Source organism: Homo sapiens, chromosome 3 (assembly GCF_000001405.40).
Source record: "Homo sapiens chromosome 3, GRCh38.p14 Primary Assembly".
Classification (NCBI taxonomy): Eukaryota; Metazoa; Chordata; class Mammalia; order Primates; family Hominidae; genus Homo; species Homo sapiens.
The window spans coordinates 23,930,181-23,947,634 of record NC_000003.12 but is presented as its reverse complement, the minus strand read 5'-3'; the positions used below and the strand labels follow the sequence as shown (position 1 = coordinate 23,947,634).

The 17,454-nt window shown below is 44.9% G+C and overlaps 2 protein-coding genes and 1 long non-coding RNA gene across 6 annotated transcripts in view, besides 3 other annotated features; 2 read left to right on the top strand and 1 right to left on the bottom strand.

Annotated features, from left to right (window-relative positions):
- The window catches only part of NR1D2 (nuclear receptor subfamily 1 group D member 2), a 35,332-nt gene extending 32,983 nt beyond the window's left edge, over nt 1-2,349 (bottom strand). For 3 of the 4 annotated variants that reach the window (NR_110524.2, NM_005126.5, XM_006713451.4), the window contains exon 1: nt 2,041-2,349. Coding sequence is in view for 2 of the 4 variants with exons in the window: in NM_005126.5 (NP_005117.3) it covers nt 2,041-2,056 (16 nt within the window). In the remaining 2 variants the exon portion in view is untranslated. Of the gene's footprint in view, nt 1-1,381; nt 1,515-2,040 lie in introns of those variants that run through there. The other variant, NM_001145425.2, reaches the window with a different exon arrangement.
- The window catches only part of NKIRAS1 (NFKB inhibitor interacting Ras like 1), a 56,612-nt gene continuing 40,230 nt past the window's right edge, over nt 1,073-17,454 (top strand). Inside the window, exon 1 of the mRNA NM_001377380.1 lies at nt 1,073-1,312. The gene's annotated coding sequence lies outside the window, so the exon portion shown is untranslated. The remainder of the gene's footprint in view (nt 1,313-17,454) is intronic.
- Nucleotides 1,258-1,799: a silencer, noted in NCBI's record as "fragment chr3:23987327-23987868 (GRCh37/hg19 assembly coordinates)". NCBI's record gives its function as "represses an EF-1alpha promoter that drives an FKBP-Casp9 reporter gene in an ReSE screen in HepG2 liver carcinoma cells {active_cell/tissue: HepG2}" and the evidence as "EXISTENCE:reporter gene assay evidence [ECO:0000049][PMID:32094911]".
- Nucleotides 1,258-2,485: a biological region, named in NCBI's record as "ReSE screen-validated silencer GRCh37_chr3:23987327-23987868".
- Nucleotides 1,296-2,485: a silencer, noted in NCBI's record as "silent region_14145". NCBI's record gives its function as "represses an Ori minimal core promoter by ATAC-STARR-seq in GM12878 lymphoblastoid cells {active_cell/tissue: GM12878}" and the evidence as "EXISTENCE:reporter gene assay evidence [ECO:0000049][PMID:35858748]".
- On the top strand, nt 2,455-5,223 carry LOC124909354 (uncharacterized). Its single transcript, XR_007095845.1, has 2 exons — nt 2,455-3,980; nt 4,555-5,223. It is a non-coding gene; the product is annotated as an uncharacterized LOC124909354 (long non-coding RNA).

Sequence of the window (17,454 nt, the reverse complement as noted above, 5' to 3'; positions counted from 1 at the left end):
CGTGAAAGGTCCTAGTTGACTGCAAGGTTACTGTGAGTCAGCAAAGCAACATGCCAAAAATACTAAGCCTGCCAGGGAATTCATTTGCAACAGGATTCAAGACAAAGAGGGCAACTTGGAACTTGATAATCATCCAACCACTTCCACAAGAGCCTGTTCACTTCTGGGTGCTCCATCCCAAACGGCAACAAGGATGATGAGTGATCAGAAAAAACAATGCTGGGCAAGGACAAAGAGATGAGAACTGTAAATGGAAGAACTGAAGGGGGAAGGGGATGGTCAACATTCATCCGGAGGAATTTTTATAATGTGCCTTGCTCCACGAGGCAAGATTTAGATCAGCGAAGTATTGGAAGAGGGCTCAAACCAGAGAAAAACTTCCTAATTGAGCCAGCCCTTATGAGGTTACTAAAGCTATTAGAATTCATGCTAAAGGGTGGGTTAGAAGAGGTTCACCCTGATCACCTCTGAATTCTAACATGTAGAAGTTTAATTCTATGATAAACTCATAAAATTTTAAAAATACCCTCAAAGGCTAAGTAGGCCGATTAGGTAATCAAAACACAATTAGATCCAGATTTTTGTGAGACAACAGGTTAAAAAAAATAAGTAAATTCTAAAAATACGTAAATAAAATTAGAAAGTGACTTTATTTTTACTTTTGGTGAAAAGTTCACAATACATTTGTTATCGAGGCAAGATTCTTAGAGGCGCATTGCAACTCAAAAAATAAAACAAAAGCTGGCTGTTTCCATAACCTCACTCACTTCAGATCTACCTCATCATTTGGGGCAGACAAAAGGAGGGAAGGGCACCCTGTTGTTCCGTTGCAATGTAACAAAATGTGACAAGAAAAATATTTATAAAGCCAAATTCTCTTGATCAGATTCAGGAAAAGTCAGCGACCCACAGGTTAATTTTTTTTTAATTTAAATGAAGAATGTCCAGTCTTACATATGGTGTTGGAGTCACCTATGATCACCTGAGTCATCCTGACCATACGTGAGCTGCACGCTCAGCTGCGGGTGTGACCCGTTTACTGGAAAACTCCAGCCCGAAGGGATCTGGAAGCAGTTTTTAAGACTGTGTGTGTATGAGACAGGTCGCGTCCTAGAGCAAACGGTTTTTTTTGTAAACAGACGGCATCCTAACAGGGGCGGTGCTACCCAGTCTGCGGGGAGTCGCTCGGGATCGAAGCACCTCAGAGCTCCTTCGAGCGTATCCCTTCGGGAAAGCCCCACGCCTTCCCCGAGGCGCCTCCTCCGGCCTGCAGCACGCCCTCGTCCTGCACTTCCTCCTCGGAATCTGCAAGGTATGCAGCTACCAGCCTCCCCAGGCGCCGGTTCGTTTGGTTTGCGCGGGGTCCGCGCCTTGGGGTCACCTCGCGAAAAGAGCGTGCGGCGTCCGGTGCACTGCGGTGTCAGCGCCCGCTTCGGGGACGCCCCGCCGCGGGGGCTCAGCGGGCGCGCACGCGCGGCCTCCTCCGCAGTGTGCAACCCCGCGGGGGAGGAGGGAATCGCGGCGACGTCACTGCCCCGAGGCTTCCAAAGGGGCGGAGCCTCCCGGGAGGCTGCGGCGCTCCCAGCCAGCGCGCGCGCGCGCGCCCCCGCCCCCACGTGTCCCTGCGGCCCCGGGGAATGTGGGTCAGGGAGCCGAGCGGCCTCACGTGTCCCCGCCCGCCGCCGCCGCCTCAGCGCCCATTATGTAATGCCGCGTCACGCGCCCGCCCAGCCAACCGGCGCCCGCGCGCCGCCGAACGTAAACACAGCGCGCACGTGGCTCGCGCGGCCGGGCCATGTGAGGGGGGGGCCGGGCCGGGCGCCGGCAGGCCGCGCTGCGGCTTTGCAGGGAGACAAGAGGGCGGGCGCCGGGCGGCCCGGGGGGCGATGGGAACCGAGCCAGAGGCGGACACGCGGCGCGCAGCAGCCCACCCCGCCCCACCGGCCATGGGGACACCCCCTGCCGCCGCCCCCCAAAGTGCCCCGCGGGCTCTGAGCGCTCCCTCCGGCCATCCCCCACCCGCCGCAGTCCGGTTCTTACCTGCATTCACCTCCATGGTGCCCTCGCGGAGGCGGCCGGGGCCGCCCGCTTCCCGCAGAGGGGGCAGCGCCGCCGCCGCCGCCTCAGCGCCGCGCCGCCCCGGGCTGGAAGCAGCGGTGGTCGCGGGGCCCCCTCATGGGCAGAGCGGGCGGGGCTCCCGGGCCCCAGGCCGTGCAGCGCACAGCAGGCTGCAGCGAGAGAGGGTGGCGGCGGCCGGCGAGCGGCGCTCCTCGCTGGGTCCCTGACAACAAAAGCGGCGGCGCGGCGGCTTCCTGCAGCCAGCGCACCGCGGCGGCGAGGGCGGCTGACGGGGAGGGCAGCCGCGACCATGTGACCCGCGCACACACCCCCTCCCTCCGCCCGCCCTCGGCCGGCCGCTGCGGCGACCTCCGCCCCGCCGCTCCCCTCCCTCCCGCCCGCTTCCCGGCTCCCCGGCTACCCTTTTCTCCTGCGCTTCCCCCTTCTCCCCTTCCTTCTCCTTGCCGAGCCCCTCCTCTTCCTTCGTTTTTCCCCTCCGTGCCGTAAACCTCTTCTCCGTTTCCCTCCGCCGCATATTCCTCCCCTCCTCCTCCTCTTTCCTCTCCTCCCGGCTGCCTTTCCCGCCTCTGGCCGGGAGTCCTCTCCACGCCCTGCCCCCCAACCTGGTGGCTCTTAGGTCAAAGCGGTGGCTTGGCGCCGAGCAAGGGTGATTCTCAGGACCCCGGCTGGGCCGGCTGGTTCGGGCTTGCTCAACCCTTGCGCCCCCCACCCCCACCCCCCGCTCCCACCCGACCGACCTCCAAACGCTGGTCTCTGAGGGCACAGACCCTTCCCTTTCCCTCTGCACCCTCTAGGTGATTTTATCCAATCTCATAGCTTAAGTAGACCTATGTTCTTGTGATTCCCAGATTTATATTTCAAGCCAAGACCTCTCTTCTAATCTCCAGATTCCTACATCCAGCAGCCCGTTTGATTATGCCGCTTTTTTGCATCTCAGATTTTAGACGGGTGTACGCGTGTGTCCGAACTCAGCTAATGTGCAGTCAAGATCTGGGCGTTTCACCTTGAATGTAAATTTTAGATCAAAAGAAAAAAGCTAGACATAAATTGTATGCGTGCTGAGGTGAATTCTGAGGAAAGTGCATTGATGCCCGCAATTTAAACGCATTACTGAAGTAAGATGGGCTGATAGAGGCATGAATAGATGATATGGTAAGATGTTAAACTTAGGCGATGGGGATATGGGTGTTGCTTGTAAAACTCTTTCCAGTTTGCTCTGAAATTCTTCACTATAGAAGGTGGGGAAAATGTCACGTGGAAGACATATTTACATGTGCAACACCCTATTTCCCCACCCCCCAGGTTTCTTCACCATATCAATATTTACTGTTTTGGTAAATCTGCAAGTTCCTGAAGCCAGCAAAATTATGTTTCTCTCCTAACACTCTCACAGCCTTTTATTCTCCATTCAATCCATTAGCAAGTCTGAGCTATTCTACCTTCAAAATATGTTCAATCCCTGTTTCTCACCGTTGGTATTGCTAGAGCAAACCATTATCTCTTGCCTCAGCTACTGCTCTGGTTCCCTAACTAGGAGAGTGCTTCTTGGGTCCTCCTACAGTCACTTCTCCCCAGCAGTCAAAGTATTATTTTTAAAATGTAAATAAGATCTGATTACTCTGCTGAAAACCCTCCAATGGCTTCGTGTTACACTTTGAAAAAATTCAACGACTTAACCTGACCTGCTTCGCCCTGCACAGATGTGGGTCCTGCTTCTCTTTCCAAGGCTGTCTTGATACCCAAACCCTTCTAAACACAGTTCCCTAATCACGGTAGCCCTCTATTCTTCCCTACTTCTGGAATTTATCACCCTCATGTGATGCTGATGGAAGAGTTCCCCAGGCCACGCTTTGTAGCTTGCTTGCTTTTTCATGTATCAACTACCATCTACTTCTACACAGGTAAAATGAGGTTAATATGAACAGTCTAGAAGGCAGAAAAGAAATCATAAAAGAGGATACCACTCTAAAAAGGCTGTGTACTGTATGATTCCAACTATACGACATTCTAGAAAAGGCAAAACTGGGCTGGGCGCGGGGGCTGACGCCTGTAATCCCAGCACTTTGGGAGGCCAAGGCGGGTGGATCACCTGAGGTCAGGAGTTCAAGACCAGCCTGACCAACATGGAGAAACCCCATCTCTACTAAAAATACAAAATTAGCCGGGGTGGTGGCGCATGCCTGTAATCCCAGCTACTCGGGAGGCTGAGGCAGGAGAATCGCTTGAACCCGGAAGGCGGAAGTTGCGGTGAGCCGAGATCGCGCCATTGCACTCCAGCCTGGGCAAAAAGAGCAAAACTCTGTCTCAAAAAAAGGAAGAAAAGGCAAAACTGGAGACAGTAGAAAGATCAGTGGTTACTAAAGGCTAGAGGGGAAGGAGGGATGAATAGAGCACAGAGGATTTTTAGGGCAGGGAAAGTATTCTGTATGATACTATAATGGTGAATATATGTTTTTACACATTTGTCAAAACTAGAACCTACAACGTCAAGAGTGAGCCCTGGCAGGGCGCAGTGGCTCACACCTGTAATCCCAGCACTTTGGGAGACTGATGTGGAAGGATCAATGAGCCCAGGTATTGGAGAATCGGAGACTAGCCTGGGCGATATGGCGAAACTCCATCTCTACAAAAAATACAAAAATTAGCCGGGTTTGGTGGTGTGCAACTGTAGTCCCAGCTACTCAAGAGGCTGATGCAGGAGCATCTCTTGATCTGGGAGGTTGAGGCTGCAGTAAGTCATGATCTCCCCAGTGCATTCCAGTCTGGGTGACAGAGCAAGGAGATCCCGTCTCGAAAAAAAAAAGAAGTGTATCCTAATGTAAACTGTGGCTTTGAGGCCGGGAGCGGTGGCTCACCCAGCACTTTGGGAGGCCGAGGACGGCAGATCATCTGAGATCAGGAGTTTGACACCAGACTGACCAACGTGGAGAAACCCCGTCTCTACTAAAAATACAAAATTAGCCGGGCATGGTGGCACATGCCTGTAATCCCAGCTAATATGGAGGGTGGAGCAGGAGAATCGCTTGAACCTGGGAGGCGGAGGTTGCGGTGAGCCGAGATCGTGCCGTTGCACTCCAGCCTGGGCAACAAGAGCAAAACTCTGTCTCAAAAAAATAAAATGAAAAAATAAACTATGGCTTTGAATGATGTATCAGTGTAGGTTCGATAGTGGTAACAAATGTACCACCGTGTCGCAGGATGTTTGATAGTGGGAGAAGCTGTGCGTTTGTGGAGGCAGGAGGTGCTTGGGAACTCTGAAGTTCACAGTACTGCTCTAGGCCAGGCGCGGTGGCTCACGCTTGTAATCCCAGCACTTTGAGAGGTCAAGGCAGGCGGATCTCTTGAGGCCAGGAGTTCAAGACCAGCCTGGCCAACTTGACAAAACCCCGTCTCTACTAAAAATACAAAAATTAGCCGGATGTGGTAGCACACACCTGTAATCCTAGCCACTAGGGAGGTTGAGTCACGAGAATCCCTTGAACCCGGGAGGCAGAGTTTATCGTAAGCTGAGATCATGCCACTGCACTCCAGCCTAGGCAACAGAGTGAGACTCTGTCTCAAAAATAAATAAATAAATAAATAAGTAAATAAATAAAGACTATTTAAAATTGTATAAGAGGTTACCACTATTTAAATTTGAAAAGAAGAATGTAAGTGAAAAATAGCCATTGCAAAGTATATCTTTAAGACCCTCTCTTCGATGATAGTGTCTATAAAATAATATCAGTGTCTATGAGCCTCAGCGTTTTTTAGAGGCTGCCTTCTTCCTATGAGACTTTGCAAGTAACTAGTAGAGGCTATAGAGCTATAACCCAAGTCAGTCACCAGCCACACCACTGGCCACTGGAAATTCGCTGGGCTCCTCAGTGCCAGAGGAGGATGCTCAGGAGCATCCTCTGGTTGGGCAGTACCCAGCGTGCTGTAGCTGCGGTGGAAATTGCCTTTTGCTGCTGTCATTCCAAGGAGCCTCATTTATTAATCCTGTGGTGTCTATGGCTTAGTCTGTTGGGATTCTCAGAATATTCATAGTGGATTTCTACCTACTCCACCTTCCTCATTCTGACCAAAATAACTGTTGAATGAAGTGACTGTGTCTTCAAAAGTTATCTGTTAAAAATGCAAATTACTTTCTAGGAAAGCTACCTCATTAGCCCTTACATACAATTAACAGAGCCTGCAAAACAACACAAGATAGGTCCATCTAGATATGAATAAAGGAAAGAAGAGCCTAAATGTTAAGAGTCCTCTTATCCCAAACTCAAGTAAGATAGGCCAAGTGGCGCACTGCAGTATGAGGACCTAGATGAAGGAGGGGCATTAGGAAAAAAAGAGAAAGGTGAAGTCTATTAAAGATAAGGCCAATTAAAAACATTTAAGGTCATTCCTCATTTTAAAATGTTCCAATGAGTCCTGCTAGCTCCTAATACCGAAACAACATGCCACTTAAATTGCCTTTTCTATGCCCTAGATGAGCAGTTCTCAAACTTTTGATCTCAGAACTCTGCACTCTTAAAATTGTTGAAGACCACAAAGTACTTTTTTTGTGGACTATATCAAGATCTACTTATTAGAAATGAAAACAGAGACATTTAAAACACAAAAATTCCCAAGCATGTTTGTCTCAGAGCAGCGACATCATCACATAGCAACAAATAGCTCTGGCAGTTTGCTGTGACACAGCAAATTGCAGTTGCCGTTCATCATGACATTTGTGACGTACCTTCTTCCAGGCTATTTTTTTCTTTACCGTTCCATTCATGGTATTAGCTTCTATATTTCTCCACAATTCTGCCTCAATAATATGTCTTTATTTTAAATTTAAAACTTTGTCTGTACTTAATTTTTAACTAAAAAAATGATTTTGTTATAACGAAATAATAAAAATTATATTATGATTTATATATCACTATGTAAATTATGTCTTATTTGATGTCTTCATAAAATATTCAAATAAACACATTCCACTATTACATCTGTGCATAGAAAACACTAATTCAAACTGAATCAATCCATTGACACCAACAAGATCAGTGATGTGTTTATGGGCAATACTGAAAACAGTACACAACTCCAGCACACACACTACAATGCAATAATAATAGCTTATGAGATGTAGTGGTTAAAGTTAAATACAGCCCAACCAAAACTGTCAAGTTGTGTTTAATGAAAAAAAAAATTCACACTGTTGCAGTTTTTTTAATTTTTTTTTAGAAACAGGTCTGGCTTTGTCGCCCCAGCTGCAGTACAGTGGTGCAATCATATAACTTATTACAGCTTCAAACTCATGGGCTCGAGATGCTCCCACCTCAGCCTCTCAATTAGCTAGGACCACAGGTGTGTACCACCACACCCCAGTAATTTCTCTTTTTTTTTTTTTTTTTTTTTTTGGTAGAGATGGGAGTCTTCCTGTGTTGCCAGGCTAGTCTTGAATTCATGGCCTCAAGCAGTCCTCCCACCTCAGCCTCCCAAAGTGCCAGGATTACAGGTGTGAGCCTACGCACCCGGTCAGTTTTTAAATTTAAATTTAAATTAGTTAAAATGAAATAAAATCCAAAATTTCATTCCTTAGTTGCTGTAGTCACATTTCAAGTGTCAATAGCCACATGTGGCAACCAAATTCATCATTACAGATTTAGAGGCTTTCTTCGTCTTCCTGAATCAGTTTGATAAATTATTATTCTAGGAGTTTGTCCATGTTGTATAAACTTTCACATTTAATGGAATACAGTTGTTTGTATCCTCTTATCTCTTTGATTGATATCAACTCTACAGTTTCCCTTTTTTGTTTTTTGTTTGTTTGTTTGTTTGTTTTGAGACGGAGTCTCGCTCTGTCACCCAGACTGGAGTGCAGTGGCACGATCTCAGCTCACTGTAACCTCCACCTCCTCCTGGGTTCAAGCCATTCTCCTGCCTCAGCCTCCTGAGTAGCTGGGATTACAGGCACATGCCACCATGCCCAGCTAATTTTTGTATTTTAATAGAGACGGGGTTTTACCATGTTGGTCAGGCTGTTCTCGAACTCCTGGCCTCATGATCCGCCCAACTTGGCCTCCCAAAGTGCTGGGATTACAAGTCATGAGCCACCGTTCCTGGCCTGGTTTCCCATTCTTAATTTTATTTATTTGTGCTTTTTCTTTCTTGATCAGTCCTACAAAACTTTTATTTACTTTGTTAACTTTTTCAATGGCCTAATTTTTTGCTTTATTGATTCACTAAATTATTTTTGTTTCATTGATTTCTGCTCTTTATCTTGATCTACATCCTTCCATTTTATTTTTATCTTATTTTTCTCATTTCTTGATTTGGACATTTATCGTATACATTTGTTCAATTAGCCAGAGTCAGTTTCTCCTGTTTGTAACTAAGGAAACCTCACTGATAGAATTGTTTTCAATCATTCTCACCAATTTTAGGGAACATTCCAGTCAACTACTGCATTATAACAAATCACCCCATAACTTAGTGACTTAAGATAACAGCATTATTTTGTTATCTATGATGAAGCCTGGAAGCTCTTGGCTGGGCATTTCTGGCTCAGGGTCTCTTGGCAATCAGACAGTGGGTGGAGCTGAAACAGCAGGGGGTTGGAGCTGCTAGGAGCTAGCTGGGCACTTCCCTCTTTAGGTAGTCACAGGGCTTCTCCACAAGATCTCTACATGTGGGCTACTTTGGACTTCCTCACAACATGGCAGCCTCAGGGCAGTCACACTGCTTACAGAGCAGCTCAGGCCTCCAATGCAGGTGTTCCATGGGATAAGGGAGAAGTTGCATCACCTTTTCTGATCATGCCTCAGAAGACATGTGGCATGAATTTTGCTGCATTATTGGTTAAAAGGGAGTCACAAGCACACCCAGATCCAAGGGTAGGGGACATGGACCTTATCTCTTTATAACAGGAGCATCAAGGTCATATCTTGAATAGCATAAGAGATGGAATATATTCTTGCAACTATCATTTTCAAAAGGGAACAATTTTAAAGAATCACGCACATATACAGTGCACCCTGACTCAAGGACCACATTACTTTGTTAAAATTTTAACATGGCTGGGCATGGTGGCTCACACCTGTAATCATAACACTCTGGGAGTCTGAGGCAGGAGAATGGCCTAAGCCCAAGGGTTCAAGACCAACCTGGGGAACATAGTGAGACCCCCCAACTCTATAAAAAATTTAAAAATTTGTTGGGTGTGGTGGCTCCTGCCCGAGGTCCCAGCTACCCAGGCAGCTGAGATGGGAGGATCGTTTGAGCCTGGGAGATAGAGGCTGCAGTGAGTTGTGATCGTACTACTGCACTCCAGCCTGGGCAACAATATGAGACCCTGTCTCAAGAAAAAAAAAAAAAAAGGTACTGTACTTCTCAATGAGAGGGTTTTATCCTCTCCACCCTGGAAGTATTTTTCTAAGTGTTAGGATAGGAAGAATGGATGCTCCAGAGAAAGGAATGAAAGTCAGATAAGAAGTGGATACAGAAAAGCCCCCACTCCACATAATGGTTCCACTCTATTTTTGAGGAGCTTATTCTCTGTGGAGCTGAAGGTCACTAAATGATATTTCAGATATAGACCCAGTTTCTTGCCTATTCTGAGTCTCTTATTGTCTTAATAATATCTAATATCTTTTCGTTCATTTGGAGAAGAATCTAGTAGGTAAAAGGGTTATGTCTACATGTAATGAATGCAGTCTACACGATAATGTATATATAAAAATCCAAAACAATCAACAACAGAAACCATCTGGCCAAGATACTTCATTGAATAGAGTGGAAAAAATATCTAATGCCACCTGGAAACCCTAGTTGAATTTTTTTAAGTGCTGCATTGATTTAATAACATACTAAACAGATATTTTTTAAAAAGTAAGAAAGAAAATAAGAAAAGTTGCATGACAGTTCAACAAATAAAAAATGCTATATGAAATGCCTCATTATTTTCAATACTCTCGGTCACAGTTAAAAAAAGAGATCCTACTTTTTCCCTGGGGTGAGGGAAAAAAAAAAACATCAAACACAAAACTTGCCCTAACAACAGGGCATGCTATCTAAAGGAACAATATATATTGCTGACTCACAAATTTTCCCATTCAATCTTCCTGTTTATTCTTTTGAAAATACTTCATTGAGAATTCCTCCCAGCAGTGCAATCTCTCCTAGCATGAGTTCATTAACTGACCATTCTCTTAAGTTTTCTTTTCTTTTTCTTTTCTTTTTTTCTTTTTCTTTTTCCAGACAGAGTCTATGGCCCTCCATCTCTCCTCCTCCCAGGTTCAGGCGATTCTCGTGCCTCAGCCTACCGAGTAGCTGGGACTACAGGCACACGCCCGGCAAATTTTTGTATTTTTTGTAGAGACTGGGTTTCGCCACATTGGCCAGGCTGGTCTCGAACTCTAGCCTCAAGTGATCTGCCCACCTCAGCCTCCCAAAGTGCCAGGATTACACCACCCCAGGCCTCTCCTAAATTTTCTATCCTACCTTGTCGCCAATACTTAGAGGAGACTTAGAGACCCAGGTGGGTCCCTTTTCAACAATCAACTCTTCACTCAGCTTCAGTTTATCAGGAGCTCTCCTCCACTGGTGAATTCTCCAAGTGCAGCGCATTCTTCCCTCACTGGGAAAGTCACCTAGACCAATAATTCTCAAAAAGTGTGGTCACTGGATCAGCAGCATCAGCATCACCTGAAAACTTGTTAGAAATGCAATTTTTCAGCCGGGCGCAGTAGTGCAGTGGCTCACGCCTGTAATCCCAGCACTTTGGGAGGCCGAGGCAGGCGGATCACAAGGTCAGGAGATCGAGACCATCCTGGCTAACACAGTGAACTCTCATCTCTAGTAAAAATACAGAAAATTAGCCAGGTGTGGTGGCACGCACCTGTGGTCCCAGCTACTCAGGAGGCTGAGGCAGGAGAATCGCTTGAACCCAGGAGGTAGAGGTTGCAGTGAGCCGAGATCGCACCACTGCACTCCAGCCTGGGCGACAGAGGGAGACTCCGTCTCAAAAGAAAAAAAAAAGAAAAAGCAGTTTTTCGGGCTCTACCTCAGATTTAATGAATCAGAAACTCTAAGGGCAGGGCCAGTAATTGGTATTTTAACAAGCCCTCCAGGTGATTCTGAGGCACTCTCAAGTTTGGGAGAGCATCAGCTTAGAAAGCCAGTAACCAGAAAATTGATCAGCCCTGTACTCCAGGGCTTACAGGCCAATGTGACTAAGTATATAAGGTTAGTGGCTGCCTCCCTTCAGAATTTCTGCACCACACCTTCAAGCGACCAGTATTTCTGCCCTGTAATATGACAGGATAGAATTTTAAATGCAAAGAGCACATTGCTTGGGTTTATGATTCCAGATCTTCTTCCATGCCTGGATGGATTTCTGCCTATAGACTCTAGGACAAACCTGCTATTCTCAGAATAAACACTCCTATTATGCTTATCACCAATGAGCTCCCCAACCCCGCTTTTTTTTTTTTTTTTTTTTTTTTGAGACAGGGTCCCTTTCTGTCGCCCAGGCTAGAGTGCAGTGGCGTGATTATAGCTCACTGCAGCCTCGAATTTCTGGGCTCAAGCAATTCTCCCACTTGAACATCTCAAGAAGCTGGAACTACAGGTGTACACCACCATACCGGGCTAATTTTTAAAAAATTATTTGTAGAGACGAGGTTTTGCTGTGTTGCCTGGGCTGGTCTTGAACTCCTGAGCTCAAGCAATCCTCCTGCCTTGGCCTCCCAAAGTGCTGGGATTACAGGCGTGATGAGCCACTGTGCCTGACCATGAGCCTTTACTAATTATCTATCTATAGATGTATTTATCTACATTCTAGAAAACAAATTTACTTCTTGCTAGGTGTGATGGCTCACACCTGTAATCCCAGCACTTTGGGAAGCCAAGGTGGAAGAGGATCACTTGAGCCCAGAAGTTCCAGACCAGTCTGGGTAACATTAGCGAGACCTCGTCTCTGCAAATAATGTTTAAAAAATTAGCTGGGCACAGTGACACGTGCCTATAGTGCCAGTTCCTTGGGATGCTGAGGTTGGAGGATTACTTGAGCCTAAGTGTTAGTGGTAGAGGCTCCAGTGAGCCCTGATCATGCCACTGCACTCCAGCCTGGGAGACAGAACAAGACCCCATCTCAACAAAAAAAGAAAAAGAAAAAAGAGTTGATTCGTTGATCAATTTTTTTTTTTTGTCTAATCAGAACCTTGGCCATTAACACCTTTCTTTCATAAACTAATTTCTTCCATCTGCCTTATCAAATTTGGTAGATTTTCCCTTTGCTAAGATTTAATTTATTATTTTTGAGTTGGCAATAAATCTTACCATGTTTAGTTTTAGCCATTGTCAGGGTTTTTTTTTAACAATAATATTCATTATAAATTTGATATTCTTTTAAAGCCTGATGGTTTCTGCTTCTTTTTTACCTAACTCACGAGGCAGGAGGATCCATTTAGCCCAGGAGTTTGAGACCAGCCTGGGCAGCATAGCAAAGCCCTGTCTCAAAAATAAAAATAAAAAGAACTGAGAAAGCTTTAAGATCACCTTCAAGGTACAAAGGGAAATAGAGGGTGGATTGGATTGGAGCGGGTCCTGCTGAGCAATCCTCACAGCCTTATTTTGCCATTCTTTCAGGATTTAGAAATCATTTATTGCATGGATCTCTTAAGCAATCTTCTATAGATTAAAAAAATTCAGAGATAATAAGTCTTCTGATATTCTCTGTAAGTTTTTTTTTTTCAAGAGAGCAAGAATGGATGCTTTCATTTAAAGGAGGGAAAAATACCTCTGAAAAAGGCTTTATTTTCTCAGAAGATGGGCAAGTTGTGAATAATCACCATTGTGGTTAGTGTTAATTCTTGCAGAGTTGGACCTTGTAGGTCAACCAGATCCCTTTCTTTTGCTTTATAAATTGAGTTGAAATAGTTCCTGCTGACCCGAGAGTGCTGCCAGCATGCCCAGAAGTGCCACCCCTGAAGGCACTGTATAATGAGACAATCCACAGGGCTGATCGCAGCATAAAGAAAAGTTCAAGCTGGGACTTAAATTTTTAACACATTTGCAGTACGAAAGCAGAATAGCCAGAGGAACTGCAACAGAATGACATCATTCAAATAACTGAATACTCAGTTTAATCATTCAAATTCCCAATATCACAAGAGACATATCATTATGACAGCATCGCCCACAGCTGCCTAAAATGTGTGCTTTCTTACTTTATACCCATGGCAGAGCATAAGGATACAATTATTTTTGGCTTTTGGTTTTGGTTTATTGGAGTGGTTTGTTTGGGGGTGAGGAAAGGTGAGATGACATTTAGTTTTTCTTTATGGAAAAAAGTTTCCGCATATATGTGATGGAACAAAGGAAGGGAGGAATGAATGATAAACACATACAGACAAACCTTCCCCCATTTCTTTTGAACTAATATAAAGTTCAGTTCATTACTTTGCCATACTTTGAGCTAAATTTAGAAACCTCTTGCTATGGTCTGAATGTGTTCCTCCAAATTAATATATTGAAACTTAATCACTATGCGATAGTATTAAGAGGTGGGCCCTTAGGAGTTGATTAAGTCACGAGGGCAGACCCCTCATGAATGATATTAGCCACATTGTAAAAGATGTTGAAGCGTCCTGGCCCTTTTTGCTCTTCTGCCACATGAGAATGCAGCAGCCAAGGCGCCATCTTGGAAGCAGAGACTGGGCCCTTTACCAGACACCCAACTTACTGGTGCCTTGATCTTGGACTTTCCAGCTCCAAAAGTGTGATAAATAAATGTTCTTTAAGCCACCCAGCCTACAGTAATTTGTTATCGCAGCACAAAGTGACTAAGACATCCCTCAAAAACCAATTTTTACCCCCTTAGGGGTGATATTACCCCCTTGAGAATGCACGTATAAAAAAGCAGGACCAAAAAAAAAGTGGGGAGTAGGAGTGGGGGAGATAGGCACAGGAATTCTTTGCATGTAGACACTTATCCCCAAACCCCATATGTGATATAAGGTGATACATATGTACAACAGGGTTTTCTCAACAGTGGTGCTATTGACATTTTGGGCTGGACAATTCTTTGCTGTCTGTGCATTGTAGTATGTTTGGCAGCATCCCTGGCCTCTATCCACTGGATGCCAGTGGCAATACCACCCACTTCCCAGTTGTGACAACCAAAAATGTCTCTGGACATTGTCAAATGTCCCTGGGGGACAAAATTGTTCCCCTACCCCATCAAGAACCACTGGGATAGAGTAATTTACAAGAAACCAGCAACAGTGAGGAAGAATTCTGGAGGCGTGAGGCAGGAGAGAAAATAACTTCTGTGTGTGAGATTAAATGACAAATGCAGACAGCAGAACAATACTGTATTTGTTTTCTATTACTGCTCTAACAAATTACCACAAACTTAGCACTTAACACAATACACAGGTATGATCTTAACAGTTCCTGTAGGTCAGAGTCTTAACAAACTAAAATCAAGCCATCGATCTCTGGCTCTCATGTTCTTCTGCCTCCCTCTTCCATATCTCAAGGAGCCTTGTGATTACATTAGGCCTGAAGTCTCCCCATCTCAAAGTCAGCTGATTTGCAACCTTAATTCCTCTTTGTTTTATAATGTAACATAGTCACAGATTTCCAGTATTAGGAGTGGACATCATTGGAGGGGCCATTATTCTGCCTCCCACAAATACATATGGAGTGATTCTATTAATGTTAACGTTGTTGACTCCCAGCATAGAGAAATCAAGCAGATTTTGGAGGAAGAGGAAGAAGTAAAAGTGGAACACACTGCTGGTTTTTGCTCTTTCCTATGAGAGGCACCAGCAATCTTCTCTGCCAGTTTTCTTCCTAAAACTATAGAAGTTACTTTTTTTTTTTTTTTTTTTTGAGACGGAATTTTGCTCTTGTTGCCCAGGCTGTAGTGCAATGGCGCCATCTCGGCTCACCACAACCTCCACCTCCTGGGTTCAAGCAATTCTCCTGCCTCAGCCTCTCTAGCAGCTGGGATTACAGGCATGCACCACCACGCCCGGCTAATTTTGTTTTTTTAGTAGAGATGGGGTTTCTCCATGTTGGTCAGGCTGGTCTTGGACTCCCGACCTCAGGTGATCCGCCCGCCTCGGCCTCCAAAAGTGCTGGAATTACAGGCCTAGAAGTTATTTTGTAGCAAACAATAATAAACAGTCCTTATGCGAGATTAATTTGTTAGAGAGGTACACTTCAGGTCATTAAATCACAGGTTAAGTAAGGGACCTCTGTATATCATTTAGTATAGAAATTTATGCAAATAACTGGGATTTCATTATGTAATTTATTTCTTTGTTGAGTCTCCTTTAATTGAGCCCTGTTTTCTAGGCACTCTCACAGATGTTTAAAGGTTGCCTCCTAGGACTGACTCTAAACACCCCTGGCAAACTCTGTCACTCTATGATCACTTCTGACTTCCATTTAGTTGTGAGTTTTCAGTTCCATAATTATATACATCTCATTGGAAAGAGAATCAAAAACTTCAAGCCACACTCCTTTCTAATCGCCTGTAGTCAGTTGGTTTTGGGGTAGTATAGCTTACAAAAGTTCTCCCACATCTCTCCCCTCAAAATTAAAAAACAGCAGCAGGCTCTGCTGACTAATAATAAGCATCATTGCTCCAGACAAAGACTTGATAAAACACCCTGTCTCTGCCCAGTGCCCATAGAAAGGGGACAGCCTTTGGGGCAAGGAGCTGACAGCCAATGCCGAGTTTCTGAAGTCACTGGGTGGTTGAAGGCAAGAAACCAAATTTGGGTCTCATGACCCTTTGCTACTTCCTGAAACCCGCCCTTCTTCTCTACCTTTCTTTCTCTCTCTCTCTCTCTCTCTCTCTCCTTCCTTTCCATTTCTTTTTCCTCCCTTCCACTAATACTTATTGGGCGTATTGGTGGACAAAACAAACAGAAAATGAATGCATTAAACTTAAAACCTCTGGGGGTGGGAAGGTGGCTAGATAAACAATAAGTAAAACACAAGAGCATGTCAGATGGTGATGCTAAGGAGACAAATAAAGCAGGGAAGGGAGACAAGGAAGTGCCAGGGGCAAGGACGAGGAATGTTTAAATTTAAGTAAAGAATCCAGGAAGGTTTTACTGAGAAATGGATGTTTGAGGAAAGACCCAAAGTAAGTGAGGGAGTGAGCCACGACTATATTTGGGAGAAGAACGTCAATGCAGAACAGGCATTGAAAGAGCCTAAAGCTGAACATACTTAATCAAATTTGAGAGAGAGGAGGCCAGGATGGCTGCAGAAGCAAAAGTAAAGAGAAATGTAGTAGGAAATGAAATCAGAAACATAATCTTGTGATTGAAGGGAACGTTGGTTTTTTGTTTGAAACTTTACGAAGAGTTTCAAACCACTTCAGAAACCAGGTCAATGATGGAAACACTGTTTACGGTATTAGAGCCACTGATAGCATACACAACTGTATCAGGCTGCATACATAAAGATTCTGAATACAGGTATAAACACCATCTTACAACTTCATTATATCCTGTGATCTAATTGTATCCAGATATTTACATATTGAAATACATATTGTTTTATTGTAGGTTACCTTTATTTTGGCTGGCTGTGGTGGCTCACGCCTATAATCCCAGCACTTTGGAAGGCCAAGGCAGGAGGATCAGCTGGGCAACATGGCAAAATTCTGTCTCTACAAAAAAAAAAAAAAAAAACAGCCGGACATGGTGGCATGCACCTATAGTCCCAGCTACTCAGGAGGTAAAGGTGGGAGGATCACCTAAGCCCAGGAGGTGGAGGCTGCAATGAGCCATGATTGTGTCACTGCACAATTGTGCCTGGGTGACAGAGTACGACCCTGTCTCAGAAAATAAAAAAATGAAAGAGATTACTTTTATTTTTTTCTTCATATTACAATTTGGGCATTTTATTGACTCTTATGATCATTATAATTATGAAATTATATATATAGATTAGTTATTGTCTGTAAATTTAATTTCATAATAGTAAAGAGGGCATTGTAAATTCCTATTATAAAAAGGGAATGGTGGGTCCTTTCAACCCCAAAATAAGATTGAAAACTGTTTGTATAGTGTAGATTTTTTGTCCTTTTTTTTGGCGGCTTATTTATCTTTTATTCTGAGGTTCAAAATCAATGGAGGGTTTCAAGCAAAACACTGCCATGATGTAACTAGCTTCAGACACATCATCCTTGCTGCATTTGGGAGAACGAATTGCAGGGAATCCAACCCAAAGTGCTGGGCTTAGCAGGACCCTCCCCCTGCACTGCTTATTCCACTACATCTTTATCCCTTTAGCCCGCCATGGCTGTCAGGGTGTTGCTCAGCCTCTCACGCACTCAGCCACCCCTTCTAGAATCAGCAAATACCCCCCAGGATGAAG